Source organism: Homo sapiens, chromosome 19 (genome assembly GCF_000001405.40).
Source record: "Homo sapiens chromosome 19, GRCh38.p14 Primary Assembly".
Lineage (NCBI taxonomy): Eukaryota > Metazoa > Chordata > Mammalia > Primates > Hominidae > Homo > Homo sapiens.
This window is the reverse complement of record NC_000019.10, coordinates 19,792,468-19,810,959: the sequence shown is the minus strand read 5'-3', so window position 1 is coordinate 19,810,959 and position 18,492 is coordinate 19,792,468. Positions and strand designations below refer to the sequence as shown.

The 18,492-nt window shown below is 37.5% G+C and overlaps 1 protein-coding gene and 1 pseudogene across 3 annotated transcripts in view; one reads left to right on the top strand and one right to left on the bottom strand.

Annotated features, from left to right (window-relative positions):
* The window catches only part of ZNF506 (zinc finger protein 506), a 29,040-nt gene extending 10,791 nt beyond the window's left edge, over window positions 1-18,249 (top strand). The window contains exons 2-4 of one of the 2 annotated variants that reach the window (NM_001099269.3): window positions 3,892-4,018; window positions 4,834-4,929; window positions 15,300-18,249. In NM_001099269.3, the coding sequence (NP_001092739.1) occupies window positions 3,892-4,018; window positions 4,834-4,929; window positions 15,300-16,408 (1,332 nt within the window). In that variant the 3' untranslated portion in view covers window positions 16,409-18,249. The remainder of the gene's footprint in view (window positions 1-3,891; window positions 4,019-4,833; window positions 4,930-15,299) is intronic. The other variant, NM_001145404.2, reaches the window with a different exon arrangement.
* Window positions 1-18,492, bottom strand: part of ZNF56P (zinc finger protein 56, pseudogene) — a 59,609-nt pseudogene that overhangs the window by 25,223 nt on the left and 15,894 nt on the right. The window lies entirely within an intron of this gene.

Below are 18,492 nucleotides of genomic sequence, written 5' to 3'. Positions count from 1 at the left end.
CTATTCAGATTCACCCTTTTTGGAGACTATTTAGTTCTGACCCTACCATGGAGTCTTGCCTCACAGAACTGATTAGAAGAGATCAGAGTTTTGGCTGGTAAATCCTACTGCATTTCTAGAGCTGGTGCTCACAATTTTCTGAAACCCAAAAGCATATAAATGAGAAAAATAAAGTATGTATTTTAGGGTCTTAGTTTTTAAATGTTGTATTAAAACCAATGCTTGCAGAAACATTCTAATTAGCAACTTGTTTTCTATTCCTGCAGATCCAGTAGTTGCTCCATAAGTCACAAAAAAGTAAATATGAATAGAATAAAATTATCTCTATAATACATTAAACTCTTCCTTCTATATCTCTTCCATCTGTCTATATTTAGCTTTTATTCTATACAATTTTTAAAAAAATTTTGATGACCGATAAATAGAAGAAATAAAAATGCTGGGACCTTTAACTACATCCTGGAAATTATTAAACCCTTAGTGCCAGCTCCCAGGATGTTATGAGAATACCCAGCATAGTGCTCTGTATCATACTCTTGAGCACATAGTACCTGCTTAATAAACATTGCATTAGTAAATGTGTACATGTTGCTTTTTAAATCAAGACTTACTCAGACATTGCTGCCTTCTGTTTTGTCTGTAAAGAACCAGCAAAGAATATAAAACTTTAGGATGGAGATGGGTTGTCCTTATCTGTACCAGAAGTATTTGGTTGTGACAAGAGTGCTGAGTGTAAGGGACCCTGTGTTGTTCCTGCTTCTGTAACTAATGCTAATAATGAGCTAAGGGGGAGCAACATCCGCATTGACAGGGAACTTGTTTAAAACACCCATTCATGGACCCTTTTCAAACCTGCAAAATCACACTACATAAAGTGGGGCCAAAATTACCAAGTGATTTATAAGCTCGTTAAAGCTTGAGAGGCAATGCTTAGCTTAGTGGTTATCAGCCCAGGCTTCTCATTAGGATCTCATGGCCAATTTGCAGAAATCTCTTGTGCCCTCCCCACAGCTTCTGTTTATTGTTGTGTGTGGAAGCATCCATGTTGTTTAATGAAGTGCCTCATATGACTCTAAGGTGAGGCCAGAATCAGGTATGAGGGCTTCAAAATACATTCATGAGAGTTAAGTTCCACCTTTGCACTAAAGGATGGTCACAGGGCCTATTCTGTTTTGACTTGGTAGGGACAGGTCAGTGTGGCACATATTTCCATTACTGTAGCAGAAATTGCTGGTGTCTGTGGCAGGGGAGGGCACCTGGGGACAGGAAAGGAGAAACATTCTTATTTTCATGGAGCAGCTCATTGTTCCTGAATCTCTTCTGTTTTAAAGGACAGAAATGGGTTAACCTTTTGTTTTTCTGCCAATTGATGTCATGCTATCAGGTAAACATGTAATACTGACACCTTTAAAGCATATTCTCAAGATGCAGATGTAATTTATTCAGAGAGTCTCATCTGAGAATGAATTCCAGAGAAGAAGGAGGAAGAAAAAAAATAACTTCCCCTTCAGGTAAACATGCATCAGATGAAGAGCTGTGTCCACTCTGCTTCCTGGACTGCCTTGTGTTTAGTACTTACAAAACTTTACTTCTCTACTTGTGTTTTTCTGCCCTAATAAGTTTGGTTTAACTACTTGTTAAAATTCTTATGATAGTCAAGGGTCTCTGAAAAATATTTCTTTCCTGTATCTCAGAGCCTTCTCTTTATTCTCTGCATCATAGCTTCTTATATGCTATGCAGGATTCTCAGCAATAATTTATAATCTGCAATATTAAAAATGTTTCCTTTGTGGCTGTTGAACATGGAAAGATGTGGATACTCAAGATTTCTATTGGGTAAAACTCTGGTCCTTAGTAAAGATGGAGAACATGTAATGTTGAGGCTCCATCTGTGTGTTCTATTAGCTCTATGCAGAACGAGATTAAGAAAATGCTTATTTAAATGAGATGGCATTTATTACCCAGAAAGTTCTGAAAAAAATTATTAAGAGATACCTGCTCTCTAGGGAGCTAAGTGAAGCCTACTTAAAATTACTACTAAAAATTACAGAACAGAGGAGTAATCTGTATTTTAAAGTTTGCATAAAACATGTTTCTTTTTTTTTTTTTTTTTTTTGAGACAGAGTCTCGCTGTGTCACCAAGGCCAGGGGTATAGTAGCGCGATCTTGGCTCAGTGCAAACTTCACCTCCCGGGGTCAAACAATTCTCCTGCCTTAGCCTCCCAAGTAGCTGGGATTACAGGTGCCCGCCACCACGCCCGGCTAATTTTTGTATTTTGTAGAGATGAGGTTTCACCCTGTTAGTCAGGCTGGTCTCGAACTCATGACCTCGTGATCCGCCCACCTCGTGCCTCCCAAAGTGCTGGGATTACAGGCGTGAGTCACTGCGCCTGGCCTAAAACTGATGTTTCTTTATGGTTAAATTCAGACTATAATTTACTTTTTTGGGGGGAGTATTTCAACAGTGATGCTGTGTTCTTCTGTGAGCATTAGCATATCATAAAAATTTGTCCTAGTGCAGTTAATGGTTAATGATTGGCTGGGCAGAGTGGCTCACGCCTGTAATCCCAGCACTTTGGGAGGCCGAGGCGGGCGGATCACGAGGTCAGGAAATCGAGACCATCCTGGCTAACATGGTGAAACCCCGTCTCTACTAAAAATATAAAAAATTAGCCGGGCCTGGTGGCGGGTGCCTGTAGTCCCAGCTACTCGGGAGGCTGAGGCAGGAGAATGGTGTGAACCCGGGAGGCGGAGCTTGCAGTGAGCCGAGATCGCGCCACTGCACTCCGGCCTGGGCGACCTAGCGAGACTCCGTCTCAAAAAAAAAAAAAAAAAAAAAAAAAAAAAAAAAGTGGTTAATGATTCACTTGGTTAAGTAGCTCCCTGAGAGATTTTTTTCACTATAGAGTTATTTTTATTATTAAGTATCTTTATGCAGCTGATGTGCATAAACCATCACATTTAATCTGGCAGCTGTCCTTTCTTATTTTTTTCCTACATATTTTCTTTGATAAATGAGGGCTCTTTGTTTATAGGCTAGAAAATGTGGGGGAAAACACAGGCTCTTCCACTTACTAAATGTTTGAAAAAATATCCTTTTGGGGCCAAAAACATTGGCATTACTGGTGAGCTTGTTAGAAATTCAAAAAATTGACCGGGCGCGGTGGCTCACGCCTATAATCCCAGCACTTTGGGAGGCTGAAGCAGCGGATCACCTGAGGTTGGGAGTTCAAGAGCAGCCTGACCAACATGGAGAAACCCCATCTCTACTAAAAATACAAAAAAAAATTAGCTGGGCATGGTGGCGCATGACTAATCCCAGCTACTCGGGAGGCTGAGGCAGGAGAATTGCTTGTACCCAGGAGGCGGTGTTTCCAGTAAGCCAAGATGGCGCCATTGCACTCCAGCCTGGGCAACAAGAGCGAAACTCCATCTATAAATAAATAAATAAATAAGAAAGACTTTATTTCAGATCTTCTGGAAAAAAAAACCTGCATAACAAGGTCGTCAGCTTATTGTACATATTAAAATTTGAGAGGTGCCTTCTAACCCAACATTTCTTTTCTATCTGAAAAATATTCACTGCTCATTCCGTATGATGTAAATATACCACTCAAAAATGTACATGTTCGTGTTCATGGCCGTAATTTTATACTTTATTATCTAGAAAAATATCATATGTGAACTGATGTTGTGGATCTTGTGCTGCTCTTTCTTCTCAGAGTTAGAGAATACATTAGAGAATATTTCTGTGTTGAAAATCATTTTATTGGATAATTTTAGTCCTATAAGTCAGAACCACTTCTCTTTACTCTCTCATTTCACCTGAAGTCAAATTAAAAATTCCACCCATGGCCACTTGGTAAAAATAAGTGTGTGTGTTTTTTTCAGGGACCATTGCAATTTAGAGATGTGGCCATAGAATTCTCTCTGGAGGAGTGGCATTGCCTGGACGCTGCACAGCGGAATCTATATAGGGATGTGATGTTAGAGAACTACAGAAACCTGATCTTCCTTGGTGAGGATAACTTGAGTACATAATTCATAATATTACTCTAAAGGTTTTATTTCTCTTTTTTGTAGAATGTTTTTTAGTAATTTATTCTTTGCATACAAGAGTTTCAGATCTCCTTTTTCCAGAAAAATCTTCAGAATTTTTTCATTTAGAAAAGAATTTCTTCATGATGTTTCATCTTAATCCAAACTTTCCACATTCCTGAGTTGAGCTGTGTTCTTCACTCCAAATTAGTGGTAATTCCAAAAATTTAGTGGCATAAAATATTGTTGCCCCCACCTGAAAATCTAATTGCCACCACCAATTTTTGATTTAGTAGAACCCAGTAGTAAAATTAAGAAACCTACAAATTGAAAGTATTTTCTAAATATTTAGAAATTTCTGTTATAGGCCAGGCTTGGTGGCTCACACCTATAATCCCAGCACTTTGGGAGTCCGGGCGGGTGGATCACCTGAGGTCAGGAGTTCGAGACCAGCCTGACCAACATGGTGAAACCCTGTCTGTACTAAAAACGCAAAAATTAGTCGGGCGTGGTGGCACATGCCTGTAATCCCAGCTACTCAGGAGGCTGAGACAGGAGAACCGCTTGAATCCTGGAGTTGGAGCTTGTGGTGAGCCAAGATCGAGCCATTGCACTCCAGCCTGGGCAACAAGAGTGAAACTCTGCCTCAAAAAAGAAAAAAAATTTCTGTTATAACTTAGTATTTTAGTATTAATTTACTAGAATACTTTATCACATCCTCTCTGCTGAGCACAGTACTAGCTTGTAATTGGAGAATATGAGCAAGATTCATATTATTTATTCTTAATAAAACAGGTATTGTTGTCTCTAAACCAAACCTGATCACCTGTCTGGAGCAAGGAAAAAAACCTTTAACTATGAAGAGGCATGAGATGATTGCCAAACCCCCAGGTAGGTGCGAGTGAAAATGAATAGGACAGACAACACAGATAGAGGTCCCAAGGTCAAAGAGAAAGCGAGTCCTTAAAATGTGATTTGGGAAGCTGTGTTCCCAAGGAAATAGTTCCTGGGCAGCTTTTTTTTTCTTTTCTTTTCTTTTTTCTTTTAATTTTGCTCTCACAAAGAGGCATCTTCTGTCTTATGCTTTTCAATTCTCTAAGAATTCTATTTTTCTTTCGGTGAGCTTCCTTCAAGTTCACACTGAGAGCCAAAGTCCTCTTCATGACAGATAAGAGACTGCACAATCTGGCTGTTTTTCCATTGTTTTGGGGACACACAAGTATCTGCATGATTTTGAGAAACTAAAACTCTTTAAGTTCTCTTTTTGCATCAGGTCTTAAATGTGTGTGTGAAAGTATTAGTTTCTGTTCCATTTTTTTGTTCATTTTTCTGTTTTATTACTATATAGTCTTGAAATGTATAGTTTGAAATTTTAAGTATGATATCCTTCTGCTTTGTTCTTTTTCCTCATGATTGCTTTGGCTAGTCAAAGTTTATTTTAGTTTCATGTAAATTTTAGAATTGTATTTTTGATTACTGTGAAAAAAAAACACTGCAATTTTAATAGGAAGTTCATTGAATCTGTAGATCACTTTGGATAATATGGCACTTCAGTAATATTTAATCTTTCAATCCATAGACATAAACTATTTTAAAATTTACTTGGATCTTCTCCAATTGTTTCATTCTTTTTTTTTGTATTACCTCCTTGGTTAATTTTTTCCTCAGAAATTTATTATTTAATGTTATAGTAAATAAGATTTTTTCTTTATTTTATCAGATAGTTAAACTGTATGAAACCATAGATATACTTTTATGTTAATTTTATATTTTCCTAATTTAATTAGTGTATTTATTGGTTTAGACAGGTTTTAATGTACTGTGTATGGGTTTTTTTAATTACACTTTTAAGTTCTAGGGTACATGTGCACATCATGCATGTTTGTTACATAGGTATACATGTGCCATGTTGGTTTGCTGCACCCATTAACTCGTCATTTACATTAGGTATCTCTCCTAATGCTATCCCTCCCCCATCCCCCCACCCCATGACAGGCCCCGGTGTGTGATGTTCCCTGCCCTGTGTCCAGGTGTTCTCATTGTTCAATTCCCACCTATGAGTGAGAACATGGGGTGTTTGGTTTTCTGTCCTTGTGATAGTTTGCTCAGAATGATGGTTTCCAGCTTCATCCATGTCCCTGCAAAGGACATGAACTCATCCTTTTTTGTGGCTGCATAGTATTCCATGGTGAATATGTGCCACATTTTCTTAATCCAGTCTGTCATTGATGGACATTTGGGTTGGTTCCAAGTCTTTGCTATTGTGAGTAGTGCCGCAATAAACATACGTGTGCATGTGTCTTTATAGTAGCATGACTTATAATCCTTTGGGTATATACCCAGTAATGGGATCACTGGATCAAATGGTATTTCTAGTTCTAGATCCTTGAAGAATCGCCACACTGTCTTCCACAATGGTTGAACTAGTTTACACTCCCGCCAACAGTGTAAAAGCGTTCCTGTTTCTCCACATCCTCTCTAGCATCTGTTGTTTCCTGACTTTTTAATGATTGCCATTCTAACTGATGTGAGATGGTATCTCATTGTGGTTTTGATTTGCATTTCTCTGATGACCAGTGATGATGAACATTTTTTCATGTGTCTGTTGGCTGCATAAATGTCTTCTTTTGAGAAATGTCTGTTCATATCCTTTGCCCACTTTTTGGTGGGGTTGTTTTTTTTCTTGTAAATTTGTTTAAGTTCTTTGTAGATTCTGGATATTAGCCCTTTGTCAGATGGGTAGATTGCAAAAATTTTCTCCCATTCTGTAGGTTGCCTGTTCATTCTGATGGTTGTTTCTTTTGCTGTGCAGAAGCTCTTTAGTTTTATTAGATCCCATTTGTCTATTTTGGCTTTTGTTGCTTTTGGTGTTTTAGTCATGAAGTCCTTGCCCATGCCTATGTCCTGAATGGACAAAATTGACAAAATTGACAATATAGTTGGAAGTAAACCACACCTCAGCAAATGTAAAAGTACTGTGTTTGGTTTTTTTAAAAATAAGATTGTATGATCTACAAACAGCATTTTACTTATTTTTCTATTTCAATGGATTTATATATTTATTTCATTAATTCTTCTGCCACATACTTCCAGTCCTAGATTAAAATAGAAGCACTGACAATGGGCGCAATATAGTTTTGTATTGGTGTCTGAATTTGATGGAGAAAACAAAACACCTCTTCAAGTTTTCATAAACTAATTTTAGAAAGTAAAAAATCTTTTATTGGGCCCTTAGTGTGATGAGATTCCCTCTGAATTTGTAGTGAAGAGGGGTTGTAGCTTGGTCACAAGGCTGCTGGGTCTGCACTAGGGTTCACCTTTAGTTGGCTTGATACAGGGACTTGGGTAGTTGTAATTCCCATTTTATTTTTGGACAGACTGCATATCCTTCAGGACTTTGCTCCATAGGGCAGACATTAGGACATGTTTTTGCACACGGTTCTGCATATGGTGGGCGTTGTATCAGGATGTGGATGAGTGTGGCTTTCACTGTGTACCAGAGAGCATTTCCTCAGGTAACTGGGTGGGTTTCTATGTAGGCAGAACTGACCATAAACTGTGGCACAGGTAAATGAAACTGAGTCATTGAACTGTTCCAGGGACCACAGTAAAGGCCAAGGTCTGCAGGCCTGCCTACGTGGCTGTAAATGGGCACCTTCCTCCAGGTCTCTGGAATGGCAGGACCTCTGCCAGACTGTGGCCGGGAGGAGTTTCGGATAGTTAGAGAGTAAGTTCAGAATTCTCAGTGGGACCAAGTTGGGTGAACCCTATCCTGGTCTGTAGCCAAGAACCAGGGGTCTTGTAGTTTCCCACCTGAATGAGGGCCTGCCTTCTGAATAGAACACTTCTCAATCTTAAGCTTTAACAGCATTTCACAACTCCCTCCCTGGATCTCAAATCTTACAGGCACTTATTTTGGAGATGGGGTCTTGCTACATAACGCAGACTGGTCTCAAAATCCTGGCCTGAAGCAGTTCTCCTACCTTAATGTACCATGAAGCTGTCATTACAGGTGTGAGCCATAATGCCTGGTTTTCTCATAAAGGCATTTTTGTCAGGGATAGCTAACCTTTTTTTGCTGTAAGAGGATATGAAAATAGGGGACTTTTAATCTTTTCATCTTAGTGAGGTCACTCTCCCTATACATTTTTACTTTCTGTTTTCTATTTCAAATTTGTCATAATTTTAGATTCAGAAATTTAGGACAGTGTGCTAGAATTTGCATGGTATGCCTGAAGTAAATTGGATAATTAGTAGGTACTCCATATTTACTAAAATAGTTACTTGTAAATTCAAGTTTGCTGCAGGCAAAAGGGAATTACAGAATTTTCATCAACTTTCTTCAGCCTATATCTAAATAATAATGTAGTTTATTTCCTAATACTTGTTTTACATATCAGAGGGTCTAACCCTATTCTGCAAAATATATATATTTTTTATTTAACAATATGTCTATTCTTTTCTTCTAAAGTTGGATTATAGCAATTTCATTTTGTGTAAGAAGATATTTAAAACATAAAAAGTAACTAGTTTCTTTTAAATGGTTATTTATTAAAAATTTCTCAGAATCTTCTGTGTATAATTACACTGCATATATTCTCTGAAATTTTACTGCCACACAGTGCATGCCAGTGATTCAAAATACCTGCATTTAATGAGTACACAGTAACAGCTAAATATTGCAGTTACGTAGACAATTTTTTTTTTTTTTTTTTTTGAGATAGAGTCACTCTCTGTCACCCAGACTGGAGTGCAGTGGTGCGATCTTGGCTCACCTCAACCTCCACCTCCTGGCTTCAAGCAGTTCTCATGCCTCAGCCTCCCAAGTAGCTGCAATTACAGGCATGTGTCACCATGCGCGGCTAATTTTTCTGTTTTTAGTAGAGATGGGGTTTCACCATGTTGGTCAGGCTGGTCTTTGAACTCCTGACCTCAGGTGATCTGCCCGCCTCGGCCTCCCATAGTGCTGAGATTACAGATGTGAGCCACTGCGCCTGGCTGGCCTAACAATGTTTGTTTAAATGATACATCAATGTTGCATACCAGATTTTATGAGTAAACATTTCTCTTATTATTGTTTTGAAGTTCCACATTAGTGTGCTTTTTCAGAGTAGGTTTCTCTTTTTTTTTTGAGACAGAGTCTCACTCTGTCACCCAGGCTGGATTGCAGTGGTGCGATCTCGGCTCACTGCAACCTCCGCCTCCTGGGTACAAGAGATTCTTCTGCCACAGCCTCCCGAGTAGCTGGGACTACAAGCACCCGCCACCACAGCCGGCTAATTTGTGTATTTTTAGTCGAGATGGGGTTTCACCATGTTGGCCATGCTGATCTCAAACTCTTGACCTCAGGTGATCTACCCTCCTGAGCCTCCCAAAGTGCTGGGATTAAACAGGCTCAAGCCTCCATGCCCGTCTTTTTTTTTTTTTGAGATGGATTCTCGTTCTGTTGCCCATGTTGGAGTGCAGTGGCATGATTTTGGCTCACTGCAACCTCCACCTCCTGGGTTCAAGCGATTCTTCTGCCTTAGCTTTCTGAGTAGCTGGAACTACAGGTGTGCACCACCATGCCTGGCTAATTTTTGTATTTTTAGTAGAGGTGAGTTTTCACCATGTTTGTTTGTCAGGCTGATCTTGAACTCCTGACCTCAGGCAATCCACCCGCCTTGGCCTCCCAAAGGGCTGGGATTATGGGCGTGAGCCACGGCACCCGGCCAGGTTTTTTTTGTTTTGTTTTGTTTTCTTTTCTTTTTTTATTTTTTTTAAAAGGGAGTTTTGCTCTTGTTGCCCAGGCTGGAGTACAATGGCATAATCTTAGCTTACTGCAACCTCCACCTTCCGGGTTCAAGTGATTCTCCTGCCTCACCCTCCTGAGTAGCTGGGACTATAGGCATGCGCCACCATACCTGGCTAATTTTCTATTTTTAGTAGAGACGGGGTTTTACCATGTTGGTCAGGCTGGTCTCAAACTCCTGACCTCAGGTGATCCGCCTGCCTCGGCCTCCCCTAGTGTTGGGATTACAGGTGCGAGCCACCGCTCCCAGCCTGAAACAGGTTTTTAATCCTGTCTACGTGAGTAGTCATAAAAATTCTCCTAATTTCAACATCTATTTATTTATGAATCTATATTATTTTTGTGTGGGGGAAACACATAACAAAATGTGTTATCTGTCAAAAACACATAAGAAAATTTATAATAAAATATTTCTAGGCCAGGCGCAGTGGCTCACACCTGTAGTCCCAGCACTTCGGGAGGCCAAGGCAGGCGGATCATGAGGTCAGGAGATGGAGACTATCCTGGCCAACATGGGGAAACCCTGTCTCTACTAAAATACAAAAAATTAGCCAGGTATGGTGGCGCATGCCTGTAGTCCCAGCTACTCAGGAGGGTGACGCAGGGGAATTGCTTGAACCTGGGAGGCGGAGATTGCAGTGAGCCGATATCTTGCCACTGTACTCCGGCCTCGGAGACAGAGTGAGACTCCATCTCGAAAAAAAATAATATATATAAATATATATATATATATATATATTCTGTTTAGTTATATTAATTATGTTGACATATTATGCAACATATCACTAGAATATTTTTATCTTGCAAAGCTAAATCTCAATACACATTAAACAACTACCAATTCTTCACATTTCCTAGCACTTTTAAAACACCACTCTTCGGTTTCTAAGCATATAACTGCTTTATATATCTCATACAGTCTCTGTCTTTTTGTGGCTGGCTCGTTTTATTTTGCATAATGTCATCAATATTTATCTTAATAGTTGTTAGAATATTTTCTTTTTGAAAACTGAGTGATATGCCAGTATTTTTATATCTACTGATTTGGTGACAGAAATTTGCATTGCTTTTACCTGTTGGCTTTCGGTAGCAATGCTGCAGTAATTATGTGAAAGGTGATATAATACATGTGCTGCATTCTGTTTTATTAGTCTACTTTTTCATCTTTATGCTCATACCAAATTGTTTTAATTCTGTAGCTTTTTGATGTGTTTTGAAATCAGAAATTGTAATGCCTCCAACATTTTTTTTTTTTTTTGAAGACTGTTGGGTACTTTGTCTTTTTAGATTCCATATAGTTTTGGATTTGCTGTTTTTATTTCTTCAAAAATACAATGAGAAATTTGAAAAATATTGCATTAAATCTATAGGTTAAATTGAGCGGTATAGACATCTTCACAATATTAATTATTTCCTTTTTGATTGTTTTTGAGATGGAGTTAAATTCACCCGCCTCGGCCTCCCAAAGTGCTGGGGTAACAGGCATGAGCCACCGCACCCAGCCAAGTTTATTTCAACAAGTGCATGCTCAAGAGTGTATTGTATCATTTCTATATATTTGAAAATTTATCAATTATTTATATTATTGTCTTATACTCTAATTCCATTTTTGTCATAGAAAGTAATCTATGAAATTTTAGTTTAAAAAAATGTGTTAAGACTTTGTTTTTGACCTAACAGGTGGTCTATAAAGAGGAATGTTTTATGAGCTATTGAGAAGGCTATGTATCCTGATGATGTTGAGGAGTGTTCTCTATACCTTCATTAGAAATAATTGTTTTTTACTGCCTTCTAGTCCTCTGTTCCCTTACTAATATACTGTCTTGTTTTATTATTATTACAGAAAGTGGGGTATTGAAATATCCTACTATAATTATATTGCTCTATTCAACTTTGTTAGTATTTGCTTTATATATTTGAAACCCCAATTTGAGACACACACACGCACAAATACACACATGGATAAACAAATTTGTCATAGGTTTCCATGAATTAATCTATATATTGTTTAATGTCCTTCTTTTTTGAAGTTTTAACTTAAAGTACATTTTATAAAATATGACAGCTTTTGACTTTAACAATGTAGCTTGTGTAATATTATTTTGACCTCTTCTGCTCTCATTTTGTTAGTATTTACATGAAATTTCTACTTGGTCTTGCCACTTTCAGTCTTTTCTTATCATTAGATCTCAGCTGACTCTTGTAAAAAGGCAAGTTGAGTCTTGATTTTTAAAATTTTTTAATGAGCCTTTTTAGAAGTATGTCTCTTGATTGGAAAGATAATTATATTTAAATAGTTTTCTGAAAGAGAAAAACTTACTGTTAATAAAATAATTGTTTTGATTCTTGTATCTTTGTGTCTTAATTTCTCCTTTTTAAGTTTTTTTTATTTTTGTGTTGACATGCTTTGAGCTTTTTTCTTATTTTCTTTTGTGTATCTATACGGATATTTTCTTTTTTTTTTTTTTTTTTTTTTGAGACGGAGTCTCGCTCTGTCGCCCAGGCTGGAGTGCCCTGGCGCGATCTTGGCTCACTGTAAGCTCCGCCTCCCGGGTTCACACCATTCTTCTGCCTCAGCCTCTCGAGTAGCTGGAACTACCGGCGCCCACCTCTACACCCGGCTAATTTTTTTTTTTTTGTATTTTTAATAGAGACGGGGTTTCACCGTGTTAGCCAGGATGGTCTCCATCTCCTGACCTTGTGATCCGCCCGCCTCGGCCTCCCAAAGTGCTGGGATTACAGGCGTGAGCCACCGTGCCTGGCCTCGGATATTTTCTTAGTAGTACCTTGGGGGATTATCTAAAACCTCTAAAAGATCCAACAATATATTTTAATGTAGTAAAAAATTAACTTCAGTTGCATACAGAAATTCCTCATTATTACATCTACCTTCACATTTGTTATTGATTTTACTAATTATATTTTTTATGTTGTCTATTCATTAACAGATGTTCATAATTTCCATACTTTTATCTTTTAAACTGTACCATTATGATTAACATAACTAATTAACATTAGTTAAGTAAGAAATTCCATTTTTATGAATGTGCCTATCTTTTCCAGAAACTTACATATCTTCAGATGATTATGTGTTGTTTTCTTGCATTATGTTATTTTCTGTGGAAAAAAACTCCTTTCAGCATCCTTGATATGTAGGGCATATGCAGTGCCAATATACTTTCTCAGGATTTGGTTATTTTGGAAGGACTTCTTTTTATTTGGTAGTACAATTTTGGTGATGGTACTATTCCCACTTGACATCTTTTTTTATTATAACTTTAATAACAATATCACAGTTTCCTTTTGACCTACAAAAATGTTTTTGATCAATTTATTGGTTATCTCATAAGACTATGCTTATAAATGACCATCATTTTTATCTTGCAGCTCCCAAAATTCTCTTCTTATCTGTGATTTTTGGAATTTTGTTTATATATGTGTTTGTTATAAATAGATGTTTGGGTATATCCTAGTTTGTTTGTTCAGCTTTTCAGCTTTGCCCTATTTACACAATTTTTTCTTTTAAGAAATTTTTCACTTAGTTTTTGTATTTTTTACACCCACAATTTTTGTTTTCTATTTTAATATTTTTTCGTTGTTATCCTCGTTTTTCTAATCTTCAGTAGTTGTCTGTGTTCCTGTTTCACTTTGTGAAAATTAAATTTATTTTATTTGTTTTTTTTTTTTTTTTTTTCCTGAGACGGAGTCTCGCCCTGGAGTGCAGTGGCGTAATCTCAGCTCACTGCAACCTCCGCCTCCCACATTCAAGCAATACTCCTGCCTCAGCCCCCTGAATAGCTGGGATTACAGGTGCCTGTCAACACGGCTAGCTAATTTTTTGTATTTTTAGTAGAGACAGGGTTTCACCATGTTGGCCAGGCTGGTCTCAAACTCCTGACCTCATCTGATTTCCCCACCTTGGCCTCCCAGTGTGTTGGGATTACAGGAATGAGCCACCAAGCCTGGCCTGTTCAATTTATTTGGAATTTTAAAAATTATACACTTTTTATTGTTGCTTTTGAAAATTTTATAATTTTTTTGATGGGGCCATGTTGCCCTAATATTTTGTATACATTGTAATCTTTGAGATTTGGACATGAACAAAAAGCTACCTGTTATGATTTTTATAATATAGCTCTGTCCTCGCATAGTCTGAAAATCAATCGTCTTGGATAGCGATTCTTGGAATTTCTCAAACATATTTTTAGGATGTGTCTTGTCTAAAATTTTGTGTTGTTTAGTTAAATCGGCTTATTCTTATTTCTTCTTAATAAATCAGTAATCACTTGCTACACCCATTCCGTGTTTGGGATACTGCAGTTTCTTTGCTTCTGAAACATTTACCTTTAGACTCAAAGTGTCATTCCAACGTATATTACCATTTCATGTCGTGGGAGACATTAACCAGTATTTTAAAAAGCCCCTAGAGGCCGGGCACGGTGGTTCATGCCTGTAATCCCAGCACTTTGGTAGGCCGAGGCGGGCGGATCACGAGGTCAGGAGATTGAGACTATCCTGGCTAACACGGTGAAACTCCATCTCTACTAAAAATACAAAAAATTAGCCGGGCATGGTGGCGGGCACCTGTAGTCCCATCTAGTTGGGAGGCTGTGGCAGGAGAATGGCGTGAACCCGGGAGGCGGAGCTTGCAGTGAGCCGAGATTGCGCCACTGCACTCCAGCCTGGGAGACAGAGCGAGACTCTACCTCAAAATAAATAAATAAATAAAATAAAAAATAAAAATAAAAAAGCCCCTAGAATCCAGAAATAAAGATGTATGTGCCAATACTTTTCTTGTTTTTTAAAAAAGAAACCAGGGGTTGGCAATTTACATATTTGTGTGCATGTGTGAGACAGAGTCTCACTCTGTTACCTAGGCTGGAGTACAATGGCATGATCTTGGCTCACTACAATCTCTGCCTCCACAGTTCAAGCAATTCTCCTCCCTCAGCCTCCCAAGTAACTGGATTACAGGTATCTGTTACCACACCTGGCTAACGTTTTGTAGTTTTGTAGAGACGGGGTTTCACCATCTTTGCCAGGCTGGTCTTGAACTGTTGACCTCATGATCCACCTGCCTCAGCCTCCCGGAGTGCTGGGGTCACGGGTGTGAGCTACCACACCGGGCCCGCAATTTACTTTTAAAGGCACAATGTTATACTGGAGAGCAGGAAGAGCTGTGTTGGGTATAAGTAACAGACTTTTCTTTTTTTCTATTTTTCTATGTGGCTCTTTGCATTGTGCTCACCTGGAGCCCTTTACACACTTAACTAATTTATAAATTTTTTACAAATGTATTTTGGTCAGTATGTTTTTGTTACAGTTATATATCCAGGAAGAAATTACAGCTTGTGGTATTTTGCTGTGTCATCTTGCTTACGTAGTTTGTATAATTTTATAGGTTAGATTTGTGAAGTATATTTATCTGAGTCTAGCAATTGAAGTCATGTGTTTTTATTGTTTCTTTCAGTTATGTATTCTCATTTTGCCCAAGACCTTTGGTCAGAGCAGAGCATAAAAGATTCTTTCCAAAAAGTGATACTAAGAAGATATGAAAAATGTAGACATGACAATTTACAGTTAAAAAAAGGCTGTGAAAGTGTAGATGAGTGTCCAGTGCACAAAAGAGGTTATAATGGACTTAAACAATGTTTGGCAACTACCCAGAGAAAAATATTTCAATGTGATGAATATGTGAAATTCTTGCATAAATTTTCAAATTCAAACAAACATAAGATAAGAGATACTGGAAAAAAATCTTTTAAATGTATAGAATATGGGAAAACTTTTAACCAGTCTTCAACCCGTACTACATATAAGAAAATTGATGCTGGAGAGAAACGCTATAAATGTGAAGAATGTGGTAAAGCCTATAAGCAGTCCTCACACCTTACTACACATAAGAAAATTCATACTGGAGAGAAACCCTACAAATGTGAAGAATGTGGCAAAGCCTATAAGCAGTCCTGTAACCTTACTACACATAAGATAATTCATACTGGAGAGAAACCCTACAGATGTAGAGAATGTGGCAAAGCTTTTAACCACCCTGCAACCCTTTTTTCACATAAGAAAATTCATACTGGAGAGAAACCATACAAGTGTGATAAATGTGGCAAAGCCTTTATTTCATCCTCAACCCTTACTAAACATGAGATAATTCATACTGGAGAGAAACCCTACAAATGTGAGGAATGTGGCAAAGCTTTTAACCGTTCCTCAAACCTTACTAAACATAAGAGAATTCATACTGGAGATGTACCCTACAAATGTGACGAATGTGGCAAAACCTTTACCTGGTACTCAAGCCTCTCTAAACATAAGAGAGCTCATACTGGAGAGAAACCCTACAAGTGTGAAGAATGTGGCAAAGCCTTTACTGCATTCTCAACTCTAACTGAACATAAGATAATTCATACTGGAGAGAAACCGTACAAATGTGAAGAATGTGGCAAAGCTTTTAACTGGTCCTCAGCCCTTAATAAACATAAGAAAATTCATATTAGACAGAAACCCTGCATAGTGAAGAATGTGGAAAATCTTTTAAATGTTCCTCAACCCTTAATAAGCATAAGATAATTCATACTGGAGAGAAACCGTATGAATGTGATGAATGTGGGAAAGCCTTTAACTAGCCCTGGACTCTGACTAAATATGAGAATTTATATGGAACATAAACCCTACAAATATAAAGAATGTGACAAAGCTTTTTAAGGAAGTTCTCAACCCTTATTACACATAATTTATACTGGACAGAAACCCTACAAGTGTGAAGAATATGGCAAAGCCTATAACAACCTGTCAACTCTTTTTGTTTTTTGAGATGGAGTTTCACTCTTGTCACCCAGGCTGGAGTGCAATGGCACGATCTCAGCTCACTGCAACTTCTGCCTCCTGGTATCAAGCCATTCTCCTGCCTCAGCCTCCCGAGTAGCTGGGATTACTGGTGCCCACCACCATGCCCAGCTAATTTTTGTATTTTTAGTAGAGATGGGGTTTCATCATGTTTGCCAGACTGGTCTCCAACTCCTGACCTCAGATGGTCCACCCACCTCGGCATCCTAAAGTGCTGAGATGACAGGCATGAGCCACGACGCCCAGCCACAAGTTCTCAATTCTTAAGAGACATGGCGATAATTCATGCTGAAGAGGAACTCTACAAACCTGAAAGATGCAACAGTGCTTTTACCACCACCTCCAACTTTTGTATACATAAAAATAAATTATACTAATGTGAAACCCTGGAAATGTATGAAATGAGACAAAGCGTTTATATGGTTGCCACACTTGATTGTAGGTAAGAGAATTAATGCTGCCAAAACTCCTACAAGTGTGAAGAATGTGGCAAAACTTTTGAGTGCTTACACCTTATTTCACAGGAAAGCTTTTATCCTTGAGAAAAATCGTACAGATATAAAGAATATGGAAACGCCATTAACGCCCACTCACATCTCAACAGAAGGTTCATAGTTAATAAAAGCAATAAAAGTGCAATTACTGTCAAAAAATCTTTCAGAAAATATAAGCCTTTAAAGAAGAATATTTATTCTGAAATCAGCTATTACAAATATAAGGGGGGGTTGTAGTACCTTTACTTGTATCACAGATCTTGTTGCACACATTGTGTACTAGAGGAAAACCTGAAGCAGTTGCTCCAGCTTTATTCAACAACATGGAATTTATATTGGAGAAGAGTCCTGCAAATATAATGAATTTGGAAAGACTTTTTTTTTCAAAATCTATAGCTTAGAAAACATCAGAGAGTTTATACTAAAGTATATTTTTGCAGATGTAAATATGAAAAAAATATTTAATTCAAAATTGATTTTACGTAAATATGAGAATTTACACTAGAATAAGGCACTGACACTTCAGACATTACACTAAATCAGAGTATTGAGTATAAAAATGAATCCACAACTAAAGCTGTTTTTGTATATAACTTTAAAAGGGAGATTTTCTGAAGCATTGTAATTTCATTGAAAGTGTACTTGTTTCTTGAAAAAAATTTTTGAACAGTGAATAATGATGTAATACAACTTTCAAATTTCTTTACGCTGTTATTTTATTCCTATTGTGGTCACATGTGAAAGCATGTGATCAATTGTTGCTGCATCAGGGATATTACAGATTCTTTTTTATTGGGTATTATGACCTTTTCTATAAAAGAATAAGGACATTAAAATGTAAGATGCATGATAAAAATGTAAGTGGAGAGGCTCTTTGTAGTTAACTTATATTAAGTAATGTATAAGGTGGGGGTTCTCATTTGTATAATCCTAGCCTATGACTTAATGTTGATGTTTTGCTTTGTCTTTTGGATGGCCTAACCTACATTAACATGTTGGCAGACCATTTTAAAACTTTTTTTTTCAAAAATTATAATGAATTACTTTATTAATAAAGATTTTTAAAAAGTGGGGGTTCAGAGTAATAGTTTTCTACATTATAGTGAGAAAAATTACAGTTAAAAGTATTAAATGAGAATATTATTTTACTAACTGTACTTTTATGTAATCGAATGCAGTATATTTAAAAATTGTTAGATGATGTGTGAACTTAATTTCATTTTTTATACCATGTTAAGACTATTCTGCGTTTAATGAAGCATTATTATGCCACTAACTTTTTTTCTTTTTTTTTGAGATGGAGTCTCGGTCTTT